Source organism: Homo sapiens, chromosome 1, assembly GCF_000001405.40.
Source record: "Homo sapiens chromosome 1, GRCh38.p14 Primary Assembly".
Classification (NCBI taxonomy): domain Eukaryota; kingdom Metazoa; phylum Chordata; class Mammalia; order Primates; family Hominidae; genus Homo; species Homo sapiens.
This window is the reverse complement of record NC_000001.11, coordinates 3,564,277-3,583,083: the sequence shown is the minus strand read 5'-3', so window position 1 is coordinate 3,583,083 and position 18,807 is coordinate 3,564,277. Positions and strand designations below refer to the sequence as shown.

Here is an 18,807-nt window from a genome sequence, read left to right as displayed (position 1 = left end):
TTCCCCAAGGAGCATCCACAGGTCTCTCACACCTGGCTGGCCTGGCCATGCGGTGGTTTGTTCATTCATTCACCCCTTCATCAACAAGCTTGCTGGTGCACCTGCGTGTCGGAACTGGGTGCGTGACAGCGATCAAGATGGAGTTGGGGGCTGCTCTCAGGGAGCCCAGGGCCTGGCATGGGAAGTGAGCTGTCACCCCAACTGAGTGCCTAATCACAGTTGAGAGGCACTAGAGGGGGCAAGAGCGGGGCGCTGTGGGCTCTGATTTGGAGACGGGTTAGGGAGCCTCCCTGTGGAAGTGACATTTGGGGAAGAGAAGAGTTGTCCACACGGAGAGCAGCTTTCTCATGGGAGGCCCCCAAGCAGGGAGAGCTGAGTCTGGGGTGAGGCCAGGAGCTGGATGGGGGTCTAATAGGGAGGATCTGGGGGCCGCGGTGTTTTGTGCCAAGTCAATGGAAAGCCAGTGAAGGGTTTGCAACCGGGGAACCAAGATCTGAGTTGTATTCTAAAAAGTCACTATGGCAGCAGGGTAGAGAATGGAAATAGAGTGAGCAGGAGAAGCTGGGGCCGGCTAAGAGGCGTCTGCAGAGGGCAGGGGATGACGGTGGCCTTGGTGTCATGGAGGAGACGAGGTGGAGAGACGTGGGTGTGTTCAAGATACCCTGAGGGTGGACCCGACTGGACTGGCTTTGGACGGGATGCAGGTGAATGATCCAGTGCGTACGGGGCTATCTCCCAGACCCCTGGTCTGAGCCGCTCGGTGAGCTGCTGGGAGGATTCGCTGTGTGCGCATCCCAGTGACTGCCCCAGGGTCCGGGGAACATCTTGTGGCTGTACCCTCCCAGCCTGGGACAGACGTTAATCATTGGTCTCCGTGTCCTCCTTCTAGCCCAGGATGAAGAGCAACAATTAATGTCTGTCCTGGACACTGAAGAGAGGGCAGTGGCTGCCCCGGGCCTGGTGTCCTGCTGGGTGCATCTGTGGTAGGGTCCGTGTGCCCCTCTCCGCCGGCAGAGTCAGCTCCGCCTGCCTTGAGAGATGGTGTCCTCAGCCGGGACAGCAGGGATGCTGGATCTGGCTGGGATTTTCAGAAGCACGCCCCTTTTCCCCTTTGTTTCAGATTTAGGCAGATGCTTCCTGGGAGGGCAGGGAGGGAGGGAATGGTATGGGGTTTAGGGGAGGGACACAGGGTGGTGTGCACGGGCTCCAGGAGAGGGGCCCTGAGAACAGGAGGGTGGGGCCCAGCCCGTGGGAAACAGGGTGGGAGGAGGGAGGCAGTGAGTGGCTGCTTTTCCCCAGGCTCCGAGATCTGGGCAGGTCCTGCCTTCCGTCCTTCAGCAGAGCCTGGGGAGGGCAGCATCCTAGGGGTGGTCTCCAGGCCGGCACCTGCTCCCCACCCGGGGGTGATTGGTCTTGGCTATTTGGGGCTAGAGGTCTTCAGGACAAGGAAAACCTAAAACCTTCCTCATGGTGGGAACTAAACACAGCTGGCTTGCTGCTGCAGTTGCACAAGTCAGCAGGCATCAGGCCTCAACACTTGGGACACGGATGTTTCCTGTTACTGGGCCCCGGGTTGGTCCCCGGTCCCTGGGGAATTTCCTGTGCTTCCTCCAGGGTCATGGCAACTTCCATCCGGCTTCCCTGCAGCCCCCTGGCCCCCACCCTATCGCGTTCGGACACATCCTCAGGCTGCAGGTGTTTGGCTGGAGGGAAGAGGCTGGTAGGGCCTGAATGTGGCCAGATGTGTGTGAGGGCCCAGGTGGGGAGGGGATGCCGCCATGCCTGGGGCAATGGTAGTGGCTGTGATTGCAGGAGGGTGGGAGGAAGAAGCATTCACAGGGACCCGTGTTTCTCTGTGCCAGCCCAGGCCGGGTCCTCCTGACCCCAAGTCCAGGTTTGGGTGCTGGCCTTGGGCATATCTGTAAACAGGATGGCCACATAGGCCCTGAAGCCCGAGCCGGTCATGGCTCACTCTGTGGTCCAGGCCAGGTAATGAAGTCTCTGAGCCTCAGTTTCCCCACCGGGCACAGCCCCTGGTCTGGGGCTGCTTAGACGACGAGTGCCTGAGTGTCCTTCTTCCTCTCAGCTGACACGACCTGTGCCTGGGAATCCCAGGAGCCCCAGCCCAGCCACCGGCAGGGCCCCCTTGTCTAGAGCTTCCCTCCCTGCTACTGGCAGGGGTGCTGTGAGTGACACACAAACTCACTGAGCCCACAGGTCACACAGGCTCCGGGGTGGGGCAGGGGGTCTCAGGTCACTGTGCTGACCATGCAGTCACCCAGCAAGCACCCCTCAGGGGTGAGGTGCAGCCCACCCACCCTGGCCCTGCCATCCCACCCTGGCCCTGCCCTCCCAAGTAGTAACGTGCAGGGTAGGGGCTGCCCGGTGAAGGAAGTTGGTATTGGAGCCCCCGGGGGGCACCCGGTCCAGCCTGGGGGGCACCTGCTGTGGAGGGGGCAGTGAGGCAGTGTGGGTCTGTCAGTAACGGGGCTGCCTGCCAAGCCACAAGGCGCCCCTCTCTCTCCAGAGCCCCTGCCTTGCCTCTCAGGTCCAGCTGTGGCCTCCTCCACCCTCACACCCTGGCCTCGCTTTCCCTGGGGAGCCCCAGGGCAGCCGCTGTCAACACTTGGCTCCCCACCTGCCGGGACCTTTCCTCCTCCCCTCCCTGGGGTCTGACTGGCCTGGGCCGGAGCCTCCCCTCCCGGGGCTGGGGCCAACCTAGTAGGTTCTACCATCAGGGTCTTGAGGGGGGTCCTCAGCCGGCCCTTGCAGCTGTGCAGCGCTGACCACTGGGCAGCCCACCCCTCCCCCCTGCACCCCCACCTTCCCTCCTCCCACCCCTCTCAGACCCCACTCCCTGCCCACCTTCCCCAGGAAATGCCCTTGGCTCCTCCCCATCTAGGTGAAGTGAGTTAGGGCTTTACTGCCCTCCAGAGGGGTTCCGCCTAACCCCAACTGCACGTGGCCGTGGCTGGAGTTTGGGGACACGCCAGCCTCCATTGGTGGCCGGGCAATGTGTGACCTAGGACAGAGAGAACGGGGCTGGGGACCTGGCAGGCTGGGTGGGCTGCCTGCCCGAGAGACCCTCAGGCCTCACCTCCCCCTGCCTCACCCCTCCTTGCCCCTCTCACCGATTTTCTCCTTCCCTCCGCAGCTGAATGCAGCGCCAGCCTCTGTTTTCACGGTGGCCGTTGTGTGCCAGGCTCAGCCCAGCCGTGTCACTGTCCCCCCGGCTTCCAGGGACCCCGCTGTCAGTATGGTGAGTGGAGCCCCTGGGGGACCAAGGCCCTGGCCATGGCCAGCCTGTGGGCAAGGGGCGAGGATGTGTCGGCCACTGGCCGTCCCCAGCACAGCTGTGTAGGGGACACCCCGAGTGAACGGGCATTCTTCTGAGGACATTCCGCAATCCCTCCACCAGTTCCCTGCAGCCCCTCTGAGGGTGTCGAGGGGAAGGGTGACCCTGAGAGACCCCCCGTCAGTGGGTGGCGCTGAAGCATATCATCTCAGCGCCCACTGCGTCCAGCCCTGCTGTTTATAAATGGGGACGCTGGCCCCCTAGAAAGGCAGGGGGTGGCCAGGTCCCAGGGTCTCCACCTGTGCTGCCACCTTGCTGAACTGTCGTTGTCCTCAGTGTTAAAAGATGGGGGACACCCGGGGGTCTTAGCCAAGGCGACTGGTTGAGTAACCGCAGCACAGCTGTAAATGGGACTCCCGCACAGGCCCTGAAGACCAGGTTGAAGCAGGAGCTGGTGGCGAAGGAGATGCTTGCAGGGAGTGGGGATGGGCTGAAAGCAAGCTACTGGGGTGACGGGATTTCTGTAAAGAAAAGTGCGTGCCAATGCGGGGAAAAGCGGCAGAGCCTCGTCCTGATTCATTTGGGCCATGGGAAGCGGGAGTCTTCCCTTCCTCTGTGGCTTCCTGCTCTGTCCCGGGTTTCTTCATCCTGGCCTCAGACAGCCTGAGCCACGGCCGTCCCGATGGCATGAAACACTCCCAGTGGCCCTGGGGCTTTGGGACTGCTCGTGTGGTGGCCACCGGGGCTCCATGCCAGGCAGATGCCAGGGCAGAGCGAGAGATGCACTCCGGTGCCCAGGCAGGCAGCAGGAAGCGATTCGAGGAAATCGGATGAATCAGGAGGTCCCCGTGTTTGTGAAGGACACCCCTGCCCACTCCACGTTGCGCTGGGGGCCGGGCTGAGGAGGGGTTCTGCAGAGGTGCTGGGTCTCCCCAGCGTTCTGAGCTGGGTGACACTCCTGCCCACTCCACGTTCCGCTGGGGACCAGGCTGAGGAGGGGTTCTGCAGAGGTGCTGGGTCTCCCCAGAGTTCTGAGCTGGGTGCCAGCAGCCTGGGGCATTGGCCATTGTTGGAAAGGCGGACAGTTGGTGCTGGAGGGTTTATTGAATGTCCTCTGTTAGCTGGGACGGCCCCTGCCGAGTCACCGCGAGTGCCTGCTGCTTCCTGGATGCTGGGTGGCTGGGAGGGCTGCTGCAGTGACCATGGACTGAGATCTGTCTGTCTCGTGTGGACGAAAGGGCCCCCCCCCCCCAGGGCCCCTGCCCTGTCATTGCCCTGTGACATCCAGGCTGCAGGCCTTGGCCAGGCCTCCCTGTGGTCCCTCTGCGGGCTGGTCAGAGGTGACCCATCCCTGTTCCGAGGACAGGTGGGGTCCACACAGGATGGAGTGGGCTCCACTGTCACGTTTGGCTTCTTGGGAGCTGTCATTTGGCCACAGGTGGGAGTTGAGAAATGTCCCGAGGGCCTTTCCGTCTCATTTGTCTAATCTTTTGGCAATGTGCGCCGCTTGACTTTGGTTTCACGCGGAAATACCAGGGCTGACTGGGCAGGCTGGGGAGGTTTCCGGGACGGGGCTGTGGCTCACTGGTCGGCCAAGCAGAGCCTCCTGTGGTCTCTGTTCCTAGGGGAGGGCGAGGAGGAGGTGGCCTTGCGGGGTGGCCTTTCCTGGCCGTGTCCTCTGGGAGGGGAGGGAGGACACCTGACCTGCCCCCTCAGGGCTGGCCTTCTGCCCACCGTCAGTCCCCTCCTCCCACCTCATCTTTGTCAGGAGCCAGCTCCAAGCCCCCTGCTCCATGAGACCCTGACGCGTGGACCCCGGGGCATCGGCAGGCACAGGGCTTGCAGGAGGCTCACTGCGGGCTGCACACCCTGTGGGGGAACTCGGCGTCTCGTGGAGGCTCAGTGTCCAGCGTGGGGCGAGGGCTCTGCATCTTTGGGGGTTTGGCATTGTTGGGGGGGCTCCATGCCCAGTGGGAGGGGCCTGTCTTCCCCAGGCCCAGGCCAGCACTGCGGAGTGGGCTCAGATGCCCATGCTTGGGTGCTTGGGGGTGGGGTGCACTCAGGTTCCCTGCGCCCCACCAGCCTCTTGGCTCTGACTTCTGTGTCACAGACTCTCACGGTGCCTGGGCCCGGGGCTCAGCATCCACAGCAGCAGCCCCATGCCCCAGTCACCGTGGGAACGCACCGCAGAGCAGGGAGGCTGGAGGCTGGGAGCTCCCTCCTGGCTCTGGGCCACTCTCTGCCTGCGTCACCTCATCAGCTCCACACTTCATTTGCTTCATGAAAGAGGAAAGCAAGGTTGAGGAGACCCAGCAGCTGCTGGTGCTCAGCTCACAAGCAGCCTAGTTGGGGCTGAAGCCAGGTCTGTCTGAGGAGTGCCATGTGCTCCCTTCTGGCCATGCTGCCACCTGGTGCAGGGACAAGCCTTGGTCCCGGGGGAGCTGTTGAGATTTGCTTTGGAGGAGAGGGGAGCAGGGTCCCCTGCAGGGCAGGAGCATCCTCCCCTGTGGCTGGCTTGTGGCCCTTGGGTAGCGGGCCTCCTGGGAGAGTGGCCAGTTGGGGCAGACGTGGCCTTCACAGGGGGCAGTTGACAAGCTGGAGGGTGGCTGCCCGGCCTCCTCGCTGGTCACTCTCTCGGAAGAAGGGGAGGGTATGGAGGCTGGGTGTGCAGAGCCGAGGGTGCGGGGCTCAATTATGCAGGGCTGGACATTCAGGATGGAGTGTGTAGAGCTGGGTGTGCAGGGCCAGGTGTGCAGGGGTGGAGTGTGCAGGGCCAGGTGTGCAGGGGTGGAGTGTGCAGGGCTGGGCATGCAGGATGGAGTGTGCAGAGCTGGATGTGCAGGGCCAGGTGTGCAGGGGTGGAGTGTGCAGGGCCAGGTGTGCAGGGGTGGAGTGTGCAGGGCCAGGTGTGCGGGGGTGGAGTGTGCAGGGCTGGGCATGCAGGATGGAGTGTGTAGAGCTGGATGTGCAGGGCCAGGCCTGCAGGGGTGGAGTGTGCAGGGCCAGGTGTGCAGGGGTGGAATGTGCAGGGCTGGGCATGCAGGGTGGAGTGTGCAGGGCTGAGGGTGCAGGACTGAGTGTACAGGACTGAGTGTGCAGGGCTGAGTGTGCAGGCCGGGTTTGCAGGGCCAGGTGTGCAGGACCAGGGCTGAGGGGGTGCTGCCTGCAGGTGTAGCCCCTGCCCATAGTGCTCCCACCTAGACCTCTCACCATCACCTTCCTGTCCCTCCTCCACTCTGGGTCTGGGGACTGCAGACCTGAGCTCAAACGCAGTTGGGAATATTTCACTAACCCCCCAATTATAATTGATTCCAGTTTTGAAAATAAAAGCCATATTTTCTGGTTCCCCCAAATTATTTCATTTGAACAAAGGAGTTGGGGAGGGAGACAGGAACTCTCTGGGCAGCTATGGAGGGCAGTGGGGGGAAGGAGCCCTCCCTGCTGCCCACAGCCCCAGCTCTCCCTCCTTGGCCCAGATGGCAAGTCTCGGGTCTGCAGCGGGCGGGGACTTTGCAGCAGTGTTTCCCTGAGGCCCTGGGAGCCCTTCCGCAGAAGCAGCGGGAGCCGTGGGAGCACAAAGCGGGCCTGTCTGCCCGGAGGGTGGAGGGCCCGGCGCTGGGCAGGCCCTGCAGTGAAGGCTTCCCCGGCCCAGTGCAGGCCTCGGCGCAGTCACAGTCAGGGCCAGCCGCTCATTTTGTCCAGGGCTGGCTTTGGTGTTCCCCAGGCCTGTGCCTGTGTGACCGGGGTAACCTACTCCACCTCTTGGACCCCAGTCCCCCTTCTGTTCAGCAGGGAGGAGATTTGGCGATGTTTTGTGCAGGTTGCGTGAGTCCACGTAGGTGAGGCCCGGAGTGGGCCTGGCAGAAGGGTCGGGAAGTGGGGGTCATGGCAGGGACAACCATTGTGATGGCTCAGGTGCAGACTTTGTCCCCAGCTGATATGGTTTGGCTGTGTCCCTACCGAAATCTCATCTTGTATGTCCCATAATTCCCACGTGTCATGGGAGGGACCCAGTGGAAGGTGGTTGAGTCATGGGGGCAGGTCTTTCCCGTGCTGTTCTCGTGATAGTGAATAAGTCTCATGAGATCTGATGGTTTATAAGGGGGAGTTTCCCCGCACAAGCTCTCTCTCTTTGCCTGCTGCCATCCATGTAAGATGTGACTTGCTCCTCCTTGCCTTCTGCCATGATTGTGAGGCCTCCCCAGCCACGTGGAACTGTAAGTCCATTAAACCTCTTTCTTTTGTAAATTGCCCAGTCTAGGGTATGTCAGCAGTTGGAAAACGGACTAATACCCTGGCTCTTGGGGTAATTACACAAGAGCACCCAGCTGCCATGTGGAGTCTCCCAGAGTGGTCCAGGGTTTGGAAGATCCCCCAGGACTGCCAGTTTCCTTGCCCTGTGGGTCTGCAAAGGAGCGAGGGGGACTCTAAAGACCCCCTCCCCTGTCCCTGGGAGGACTTTGGGGTCCCATCAGAGTATCAGTTTCATCAGACCAACCAGGAACAGTTTTCACAGCTGAAAACCTGGCCTCTTCCTGCCTTTGCACCCGGGTCCCACCTGTGTGCGCTGCTCTGGCAAGCGTGGATGGATGCCCCCACCCCTTCCCCAACACCCACTGGTGACCTGGGCTTGGCTCAGAATTGGTAATGAAAAGACCAGCAAGAAAAAGTTACTGAGAACAAATGACCTCCTAATAGATTTGTCTTTTGTAGTACACGAAGTCACAAAAGTCTCTACAGATCTCTTGATCTGGTCTCAGCTGACCTCATGGGACAAGGGCAGGCTCTGAGAAATGAGGCCTGGGTCACCTCTAGGTACTTTCTTGGTTCAAGAACCTTTGGCTCAAGCCAGGCGTGGTGGCTCACACCTGTAATCCCAGTCCTTTGGGAGGCCGAGGCACGTGTATCACTTGAGCTCAGGAGTTCGAGACCAGCCTGAGCAACATGGTGAAACCCCGTCTCTACCAAAAATACAAAAATTAGCCAGGTGTGGTGGCGGGCGCCTCTAATTCCAGCTACCCAGGAGGCTGAGGCAGGAGGATTGATTGAACCTGGGAGGTGGAGGTTGCAGTGAGCCAAGATTGCGCCACTGGACTCCAGCCTAGCTGACAGAGCAAGACCCTGTCTCAATAGATAAATAAGTAAATAAATAAATAGTAACCTTTGGCTCTGATTCCCTTTTGGGCCTCAGTTCCCACCCCCCCACCCCCGGCACCAGTCAAAGGGGCAGATCAGACGGGTCTCCAGCACCACCACACTAGAGTGTTGCCACCCTCACTCCTGGGTCCAGGTGAGTGGTCAGGGTTCCAGTGATGCCCATCAGAGGCTTGGCTGCCCCAAGGGCTTCCTGGAGGAGGTGGGCCTGTGGGCTGGGGAAGGTTTGGGAGGTGCAATTTGTTCCGGACAAGTTTCCAGACAGGACAGAGACAGGAGCAGAGGAGCAGAGCAGAGGAGAAAGTCATTTTGGCCCTGAGGTACGGGGTCGGGAATGAAGGAAGGGTCAGCCAAGCTTCTAGAAGGTCCTCGGCCTCTCTCGGTGAGATGGAGCCAGGCGTTGCTGGGGGCCAGCTGGCAGGTGCTCCTGGGTACCTGCTGTGTGCCTGCCAAGCCGGGGGAGACATCAGTGGTCCTGCCTGGAGCCTCAGCACCCAGGCCCACTCTGAGTCCTGCACCTTTGAAGGAAACCTCGGTTTCCCTGCCTCAAGCAGGAGGCCCTCAGTGGGGGTCTCTCGGGTGTGGGCCTCTCGGGTGTGGGCTGGAGGTGGCTCTGGCAGCTGTTGGGGCCCTGAGGCTATGCCAGGAAGCAGAGCCTTGGAGAAGGTTGGGTGGCTAGGACTGGGTGGTGTCCTGAGCCCGTTTAGCCCTTGGCGTTGGCTCAGGGCGACTGTTTCTAAACTGGGACCATTGATTAATGGAGAGGAAGCGGCCCTCCCCACTGCCTTTCAATGCTGCCCACTGTGTCTGAGGGTGGGAGTCTGACCCCTCGCCCGAGCTCCAGACGCCACCCAGGGCTGCTCTTGGCGACCAGCCACGGCCAGGCCTGGGAGCTGCCGCTGCCAGACTCAGACTCTGTGCCCCAGGGAGTGGTGGGAGGGGAGGACGGGGCTCCTGGAAGGGCGGGCTCTGGGGCAGGGATGTTCTTTTCACAGCCTCTCTCCATGTTGTGCACTCCCTGGCTGGAGCTGGAGCTGGGGCTGTCTCTGGTCCTGCTCCCTGCCATGGGACCTTGTCCAGAGGCCTGCAGCCTGCAGCAGCCCCAGCCTGGGCTGATTCCTGGGGAGGCATCTCAGCTTTGTCCTGTGGACGTGGCCTCGGGTTAACCTGACCCTGGTCCTGGGCTGTAGTTCCAGGCTCCCCGCACTGTTTCCCGTGCTTACCTTTGGGTGCAGCCAAGCAGAAGGTTTCCATCTGGGCCTGGAGCTGGCTCAGCCAGGAGGCCACCCTGGGGGAGGCTTTTTGTGTCTGGTGTGAGAAATGATCCTAGCATGCCCCAGGAGGACTAGGGGTTACCTGGCGGGGGGACCCAGCACACCTGGGAGGACCCAGCAAACCTGGGGGAACCCAGCACACACAGGAAGGACGCAGCACACGCAGGAGGACCCAGCATACCAGGGAGGACCCAGCACACCTGAGGGAACACAGCCCACCAGGGAGGACCCAGCACACACAGGAGGACCCAGCATACCAGGAAGGACCCAGCACACCTGAGGGAACCCAGCCCACCAGGGAGGACCCAGCACACCCAAGAGAACTCAGCATACCCAGGAGAACCCAGCACACCCAGGAAAGACCCAGCACACCCAGGAGAACCCAGCACACCCAGGAAGGACTCAGTACACCCAGAAGAACCCAGCACACCCAGGAAGGACCCAGCACACCCAGGAGAACCCAGCACACCCAGGAAGGACCCAGCACACCCAGGAGAACCCAGCACACCCAGGAAGGACCCAGCACACCCAGGAGAACCCAGCACACACAGGGAGGACCCAGCACACCCAGGAAGGACCCAGCATACGCAGGAGAACCCAGCACACACAGGAAGGACCCAGCACACCTGAGAGAACCCAGCATACCTGGGAGAACCTAACACACTCAGGAAGGACCCAGCACACCTGGGAGGACCCAGTACACCAGGAAGGACCCAGCACACCCAGGAAGGACCCAGCACACCCAGGAGGACCCAGCATACTCAGGAGAACCCATCACACACAGGAAGGACCCAGCATACCTGAGAGAACCCAGCATACCTGGGAGAACCTAACACACTCAGGAAGGACTCAGCACACCCGGGAGGACCCAGCACACCCAGGAAGGACCCAGCACACCCAGGAAGGACCCAGCACACCCAGGAGGACCCAGCACACCTGAGAGAACCCAGCACACCCAGGAGGACCCAGCACACCTGAGAGAACCCAGCACACCCAGGAGGACCCAGCACACCTGAGAGAACCCAGCACACCCAGGAGGACCCAGCACACCCAGGAAGGACCCAGCACACCCAGGAGGACCCAGCACACCCAGGAGGACCCAGCACACCTGAGAGAACCCAGCACACTCGGGAAGGACCTAGCACACTCAGGAAGGACCCAGCACACCCAGGAGGACCCAGCACACCCAGGAGGACCCAGCACACCTGAGAGAACCCAGCATAGCTGGGAGAACCTAACACACTCAGGAAGGACCCAGCACACCCGGGAGGACCCAGCATACCAGGAAGGACCCAGCACACCCAGGAAAGACCCAGCACACCCGGGAAGGACCTAGCACACTCAGGAAGGACCCAGCACACCCAGGAGAACCCAGCACACCCAGGAAGGACCCAGCACACCCAGGAGGACCCAGCACACCCAGGAGGACCCAGTACACCCTGAAGGACCCAGCACACCCAGGAGGACCCAGCACACCTGGCAGGACCCAGGACACCCAGGAGGACCCAGCACACCCAGGAGGACCTAGCACACCCAGCAGGACCCAGCACACCCAGGAGGACCCAGCACACCTGGAAAGGACTCAGCACACCCACGGGGACCCAGCACACCAGGGAAGACCCAGTGCACCCGCAAGGACCCAGCACACCCAGGAGAACCCAGCACGCCAGGAAGGAACCAGCATATGCAGGAAGGACCTAGCACACCCAGGAAGGACCCAGCACACCCAGCAGGGCCAGCATACCAGGAAATGACCCAGCATATGCAGGAAGGACCCAGCACACTTGGGGGGAAGACCCAGCACCCTTGGGGAGGACTCAGTGTGTCTGGGGGGACACCCTCACCCAGGAACCTTGCTCTCTGGCCTTTGGAGCCGGGAGGACCCAGCACCCTTGGGGAGGACCCAGCGTGTCTGGGGGGGATGTCCTTACTCAGGAACCTTGCTCTCTGGCCTTTGGGGCAGGCTGGCCTTGGTCTCGGTGTTTTCCTGCTCTCTGTGCTCGGGGGTGGGAGTCCTCTGAGAGCAAGAACAGGCTTCTGGCCTCCATGGTGGGGTCGTGTCCTACAAGCACCGGACACCTGACACCTGGGCTGGGAGATGCCTCATTGACTCCTGCCCTTCCTGGCTGTTCTGGGTTCCAGGCTTGGAGGAGCACTCTCTGGTTTCTGGACCATCAGAAAACCCAGCCACTGGCCATGGCTGTCCCCTCCTTGTGGGATGGCCCAGGGCCACCCCTGGTCCCCCAGACCCTCTCTCTGTGTCCTGCTCCCCAGGCTGTTGGCTGTCTGTGCTCACAGTTAATGGGGTCCCTGGAGGCCCCCGAGGAACATGGAGGTGTCAGCCATGAAGACAAGCTGGTGCTGAGCCGGCTCAGAGGGGGAGATAGGGCTGTGGTGTGTGTGTCCCCGTGTGCCACAGCCTCCCTGGGGCCCTGTCCCTGGGGATTGGTGGAGGGGAGAGACTGGGTGGCCCCGGGGGATGGCTGGAGGGAGGGCTGAGCCTCTGCCGTGTGAATGGGGAGGATGACTAGCCTCCTGAGCAGGCTCTGTGCCTGGTACCAGGCTGGGCGGTGGAGGGGGCAGGATGATTTCCTGCTAGGCCAGTTGTGGGCTTCATGCCCTGCAGGCAGTGAGGGCCTGGCACAGGGGCAGGGCAGGGGCAGCCTCCTATCCTCACATTCCCAGGCCCATGTGGTCTTTCTTGGAGGCAAGGTTGGTGGTGCAGTGGTTGTCTGCTGAGCAGGGCTGGAGCAGCGGGTGTGCCCCGGCGGGTGGACAGAGCACCTGGCACCTGGGCCGGAAGATGCCTCCTTGACTCTCACCCTGTCTGGCTGCCCTCAGGTCCCAGGCTTTGAGGAGCTCTGCCTGGTTTCTGGGTAATCAGAAAACCCCATGCCCAGCAGCCTGCCTGGCTATCCTTTCCCTGTGGCCTTTGGCTTTTCCACGCACATCCTCTTTAACTGCACTGAGTCCCTGGAAATCCCCCGAGTCCCGCTTCCCCGTGGGAGCCAGTGCCTGCCGGGCGGCCCCTTCTGCCTGCAGTGGGTTGAGCGGGCAGGGCAGGTGCTTGACTTTGGCTTCACTGGCCTCAGTCCCAGGCGGCCCCTTCTGCCTGAAGTGGGTTGAGTGGGTGGGGCAGGTGCCTGACTTTGGCTTCTCTGGCCTCAGTCCCTGCGTGACAGTCGGCTGGGACAGGTGTGGCCCCTCCACGACCATCTTGCTATGCTCAGGCTGGGCCACCTCCTCGACAGGACAGCTGGGGAGACTGAGACCGCCTGCAGAATCCAGCCTGTCTTTCAAAGGGCTGACTCTGGGAAGGGGATTCCTGTTTGTGCAGTGAATTGTTTAATTACCAGGTTTGTTCTCCCCCTTCCCTGCCACCCACAAAAGGGCCTCTGTCTTTCTCCTGGGATAATGCTATCCTCCCTGGCCTTGGCTCTGTGCACAGTGGGGTTGTGTGGCCTCTCCCATGCTGGCTTCACAGACAGGGTAGTCTTTTAATGACATAATTACAGCAGGAGACATTAAGAGGCGGACCCTCCCAGGCATTGTGGGGTGGGGGGCTTCTGTAGGCTCCCCCAACTGCCCCTGTGCTGCCTGGTGAGTGGGCATCTCAAGTCTTCCTGCCCATAGCATGGACGGCTGTCCAGGCAGCCACTGAGCCCGGTGGCAGGCCACTTCAACACTGTTCAGAGGACGACCAGGCCTCTTGGCTCCCTGTGCCTGCCCCAGGCCGGAGACCCCGTGGCCCCCCAGTCTCCTGGATGGTCTCCTTGGACAGCTCTTCCCACTAGCTGGGTGTGTCAGAGACCTTCAGCCTCCAGGATCCTTTGAGTCCCCTGATCCTTGCCTCGGCCATCCTGTCCCATCCAGATTCCCTGGACTTCAGGGCAGCACTGGGGCTGACCATGGCATCCGGGTGTGGGGCTGTGCCTGTTCCACTTCACAGATGGGGATACTGAGCCCCTGGCAGTTCTTGAGTTGCTTGGAGTCAGTGATGGACTTGGTATTGGCCTTTGGCCCTTGACCGCCTGCCCAGGGCAAGGCTGAGGGCCTTTGGGAGCCCCGGCTGAGGGGCGGCGGGGTGGTGTCTGGGCATTGGTGTGGCCTGGGTGCCCTGTGATGGGTCCCAGAGGCTGTCCCTGCTTCTTTGGGTCCTGCATCTTTGAAGGAGCCTCGGTCTCCCCCCCTGAACAGGCGGCTGGTGGCGGGGGTCTCTAGGGTGTGGGCTGGAGGTGGCTATGGCGGATGGAGTCGGCTGCAGGAGCTCCCTCTGGGAGTGTCTGGGGCTATGGGTTGTGCCCTGGCCTCTGGCAGACCCGTACCGGGCAGCTGCCAGCTGAGTGAAGCCAGGCTCTGCCCACTCGCCTGGAAGCTGCAGTGCCCAGCCTGACAGCTCTCATGGGCCACACTGAGGGTTTGGCATGTTCTTTTCTGGGTAGAGAGGCTAGGCCAAGCTGCATGGAGCTGGGGTGCAGACCTGCACCCTGTGAACACGCTCTGCAGGCCCTTGTGGGTTCAGGCTGTGTTTGGCTGGTGGAGGGAGCAGAGGGGCAAACCTCACCCACAGGGCTTCTGTAAGGTGCAGAGGACACAGGTGTCCCCTGCGGTGCTCACGGCCCATCCTGCTGATGTAGAGAAACCCACCGTCAGGAGGGGCTAAAGGGCTGGCCGGCAAGGTCATAGGGCACTGGCTGGCATCCAGGGCAGGGCATGGGGGCAACAGAGGTGGCTCGAAGGGGCCAGGCAGGGGATGGTTTGTGGGTGTCCTTGCATTTGGGGGGCTCTTAGCCTGAGTGCTGGGGAGAGCTGCTTGGGGTGCAGGTGATGGGCCCCCATCCTGAAGAAAGTGGGTGCGTGCTGGGACTCCTAAGGAGCCTGCTGGGCTGAGCTGCTGCTTGAGCCTCCCTGTCCTGCTCTAGCCAAAGGGGTGGCCTCCGTGGGCCCCATGAGGGGCCTAGGACCACTACTGAAGCCCCCATGTGGGACCTAGGACCACTACCGAAGCCCCCATTCCCCTGCCGTGTTCCTGGAGGCCAGAGCCCTCAGGGGCCTTGGTTTTTACCCAAGCACACACTGGGTGCACTGAGGGCTAAGGCCCAGTGTGTCTATGACACATTCATGGCAGGTCCTGCACACTTCACCCCCTCATCACTCCAGGAATCTCTGGGAGCCTCTGCACCCCAGAGGCCCTGGCTGCAGTAGACATGTTGACGAGTCAAATTGCAGCCTGTGGCTGAGCTGTGGAGACTCCGGGTGCAAATTCCTGGGGAATTCCTGCAGGCGATCCTGCACGCCAGGCCTCTCTGGCGTTTATGGGACGGGTTCTGCCTCCTCAGCAGCTGGGCCCCGTGGCTGGGCCTGTCCCACAGCACGGCAGTGCCTGTGAGACCCTTGGGAAGAAGGGTCCAGGGTGGCGGGCAGCAGCCTGGGGGAGCCCGAGGCTGGTTTCTGGGCTCCTGGCAGGTCTCAGCCACCTAAGTGAGGAAAGAGGGGAGGGGTTTCCTATGCCGAGGTCCTACCATGAACCTGTCATAGAAACACAGGCCTGTCCTGCCTGCACCAGGTCCCGGAGGACAGGTCGGTGGAGGGCCGTCTCCTTCAAGGTCGCTGCAGCGTCCCAGGCCCCCCTGCCCCTGGCTGGACAACCCCGGCCTGCAGGGTGACGCTCTGGGTCGCAGGTGCTCCTAGGGACCGAGGGCCCACGGTGTGATGGCCAAGGAGCTAGGCCAGGCTGGCCGTGTCCCCGGCAAACGGGACCTGTGGTCAGAGCCTGCAGGGCTGCGCGGTGCTGGCTGGCAGGTGGCTTGTCCTGGGAGAGCCTGGGGGGGGCATGTCCATGCTGGGGGTGCAGGAGGGATCCCCGCCACACGCAGCCCACGTGCAATCAATAAACACGCAGGGTCTGCAGGTCCCACCTGACCTCTGGCAGTGCCAGTCCACTGACAGCCCGGCTTTGGGGAGCTATGCCCAAGACTGGGGCCTTTGTAGGGAGGGGAGGATCCCAGGAGAGGCGAGGAGGCAGGGCCTGGGCCTTCTGGAGCTGTGGCCTCAGGGGCAGGTCTGGGCTGGGTGAGCCCTGGCGGGTAGGAAGGGAGGAAGCGTGTCCAGGCCCTGCCCATGTCCAGTGCATCCCTGGGAGGGACCAGGGCTCTGTCTTCGCCGTGTGGCCCGGCTCCTGCTCACATCTTTGCCTCTAGCACTCTGGCAGGGTAGGTGAGGCGTTGCCCATCTGCCAGCACCGTGCGACCAGGGCTGGGGCCCTTCTGGCCACCACAGGGCAGCAGCAGGCCCCAAGTGCACCTGCCGCTGGGGTGTGGGGCCCTGGTGGGTTTGGGTGCTACACCTGGCCAGGACGGCCTCACTATGCCTCAGTTTCCGCCCTGGGAAAACAGGTGTGGTAGTGAGGGCCGCCGTAGGGGCCGTGGTGAGAGTCAGATAGGACGCTCCCCAGGATGCACTCAGTCTAGCACCCAGTTATTTCTGAGGCTGGAGGAGAGAGGCACTGCTGCCTCCTGAGTCTGGGTGAGCTCTGGGGGCCATCGCTTTGTAGCACCGAGGACCCAGCCAGCCCAGGTGTCTGCTGGGATCCCTGCAAAGCCCCTCTAGGGCGTGCCCTCATGTGCCTGGGCAGCTGACCTGGACTCTGTGGCCTCTCCAGCCCCAGCCATTTCCAGCTGTTTGATGGGGCGCCGGGGGGCTCATAGCGTGAAGTGCGTTGGGGGAAGGGCCCCGGGGTCCCTCTGATGGGCCGAGCGGCTGGTCCTCGAGGTCTGCCTGTGACGCTGCCCAGAGACAGGTGGGGCTTGCTGGCCCTGCGGGGTTCCTTCCAGCAAGGGAACACCCAGGTCTTCCAGAGCGGCCTGTGAACAGCTCGGTTCTTGGCCTGGCTGCCAAAGTGGGCCCCAGGTTGGCCGGCGTCCTGTGCCCACCCTGCCTTAGCGCTGGCTGCCCAGTGCCAACCCTGTTCAGGGAGGCAGATGCCAGGACCTCTGCTGATTTTGCCCATTTTTAAGATTCCTGGGGCGATACCCATGCCCCCCTTCCCATGGAGTAATGAATGAGGCTCTGCAAGCGAGGGGCTGCGTGCTTCTGGAATCTGTTCTCTGATGTGGCTGCCCCAGGCATTCCAGAGCAGGGCCCGGCCCTCTGGCCCGGTCAAGCCGGGGGCCTGGGCAGCATCACTGAGGCCAGGCTAGCCAAGAACAGGACAGTGACTGCAGGAGAAGGAGGTGACTGAGGTGCTGACAGCCTCCTAAAGTCTCCAGCCGGTGCTGGCCTCAGGGGTCTGCTACCCAGGTCAGCCTCAGGGGTCAATGTCTTCTCTGCTGAGAGCGCTGGGGGAGGTCACCCACCGTGGTGGGATCAGGGCTCTATGAACCTGCAGGGCAGTGGTCCACGGCGGGTCCTATAGCAGCTGACCCTGAGGTCTCAGGGAGGAGGAAGCTGGATCCCCACTGCACCCCATGAGAGTCCCTGTGCCGCTGGGTGTCAGGGTCCACAGTGCCTGCCCTGGACGGAATGCCGAGCGTGGCTGGAGCAGAGTTGGAAGGCACCTGGATGTCCACACGCACTTCTGTTCTTGGTGACGTGGCCACCTCCACTTGGGGGTCCCCTGCCCTCCTGGGAAACTGCAGTGGGCTTTGGCACACACAGGCCCCTGAACCCCTGGGACAGGGAATCCTGGACAGCCCCATGCCACTCTGTTTAACTGGGCAATTCAGGAGGTTCTTGGACACCGGGCACCCTGGTGCTGTGCCCCAGGTCCTACCATGGGGACCGTCCAGGGCCAGGCCAGGCAGCCCCGCACGAAGCGTCCTCCTCTCAAGCCAGGCACCGATAGGCTCCTGGTCCTGCTCCCTGGACCCCTCTTGGAAGGGGCCTCCTGCAATCAAGGGGTCCCCACCTCCCTTCTTGCCGCGTGCTCAGGGTGGGGCGCTGGCACCCCCTGGTGGCCTTGAGAGGCCAGAGCAGGCACCAGGACCCGGGGGGTTTTAAGGTCCAGCTAGGAAGGGAACTTGGTGAACTCTGGGGCAGAGTGGGGTCTGGGGATGGGCTCTGCACGTGTGTTTCTCACCCACTGCTGATGCCATCTCGGTGCCATGTCTGATAAACAAGGAGGCGCCTGGGGACGCCCAACTGCCCAGGCCTCGGGGACACAGTGGGAGAGAGGACGAGACCCAGGCAGGGGGTTCCAGGGTAAGAAGGGGGTACCTAGGGGGCTTCATTCATGCGTCCATCGCCGGACCCCACTGCGTGCCAGGCCCTGTGCTTGGAACCCACCAGCCAGTCCAGCAAAACCCCTGCCCTCCTGGGTCCGCGTCCTGGTGCTGGGACAGAATTGGAAGGAAAGGTGTAATTCAGCGGTGGTGCCTGCCGTAGAGAATGTCAGGATATGGGGCTGGAGAATGCCTCGGCTGGAGCGGGGCCATGGAAAATGTCAGGATACAGGCTGGAAAATGCCTCGGCCAGAGCGGGACCGTGGTAGTGGGGATGGCGGGGCCTCACAGGAGGGGAGGTCTGTCTGTGTGAGGACCTGGGTGGGCCCAGATGGGGGTGAAGGGGGCCCGTCCCCAGCTTTGGGGGAGCCTGGTGCAGAGTGGGTTTGTCCAGTGGGACACTCACCCCTGTTGCATGGCTGAGGGTTTTAAGGGAGTGGGGGCCATACCCCTGCTTTGGGGAGCTACCTCTGGACATTGGAGGTCGAGGAAGGCGGTCCAGTGAGGAGGTTGTGTGGCCACCAGGAGAGATGGTGGTTCTTGCCAGGGCTGGGCTGGTGGCCAGGGCAACCTTAGACCAGCACAGTGGGGAGAGGAGGCCAGTGCTGGGCACAGGAGAGGGAGGGGAAGCTTGGGCTCCAGTAGATGTGAGGGAAGGAACACGAGTATTAGGGTCACCCCGGCCAGACTGTTCCCTCTCCCTTCCCATGGGTCTTACAATGCAGTCTTTTGTGACCTCTGCACAGCTCCCCCAGGGCTAAAGACAACCCCCCGCTTTACTGACCCCTCCAGTAGCTGTTTGTCCAGGCAGTTACAAGATGAGGTTAACATCTGTTCACCTCGCATAACAAAGCTGGCAAAAAAC

The 18,807-nt window shown here is 62.2% G+C and overlaps 1 protein-coding gene across 13 annotated transcripts in view, besides 1 other annotated feature; it reads left to right on the top strand.

Annotated features, from left to right (window-relative positions):
• Positions 1–18,807, top strand: part of MEGF6 (multiple EGF like domains 6) — a 136,836-nt gene that overhangs the window by 41,703 nt on the left and 76,326 nt on the right. For all 13 annotated transcript variants that reach the window (XM_017000533.3, XM_011540886.3, XM_047448229.1 and 10 more), the window contains one exon: positions 3,155–3,259. In XM_017000533.3, the coding sequence (XP_016856022.1) occupies positions 3,155–3,259 (105 nt within the window). The remainder of the gene's footprint in view (positions 1–3,154; positions 3,260–18,807) is intronic.
• Positions 5,622–6,121: an enhancer, noted in NCBI's record as "H3K4me1 hESC enhancer chr1:3493527-3494026 (GRCh37/hg19 assembly coordinates)". NCBI's record gives its function as "activates a minimal SCP1, AML or CMV promoter by ChIP-STARR-seq in primed H9 embryonic stem cells {active_cell/tissue: H9 hESC(primed)}" and the evidence as "EXISTENCE:reporter gene assay evidence [ECO:0000049][PMID:30033119]".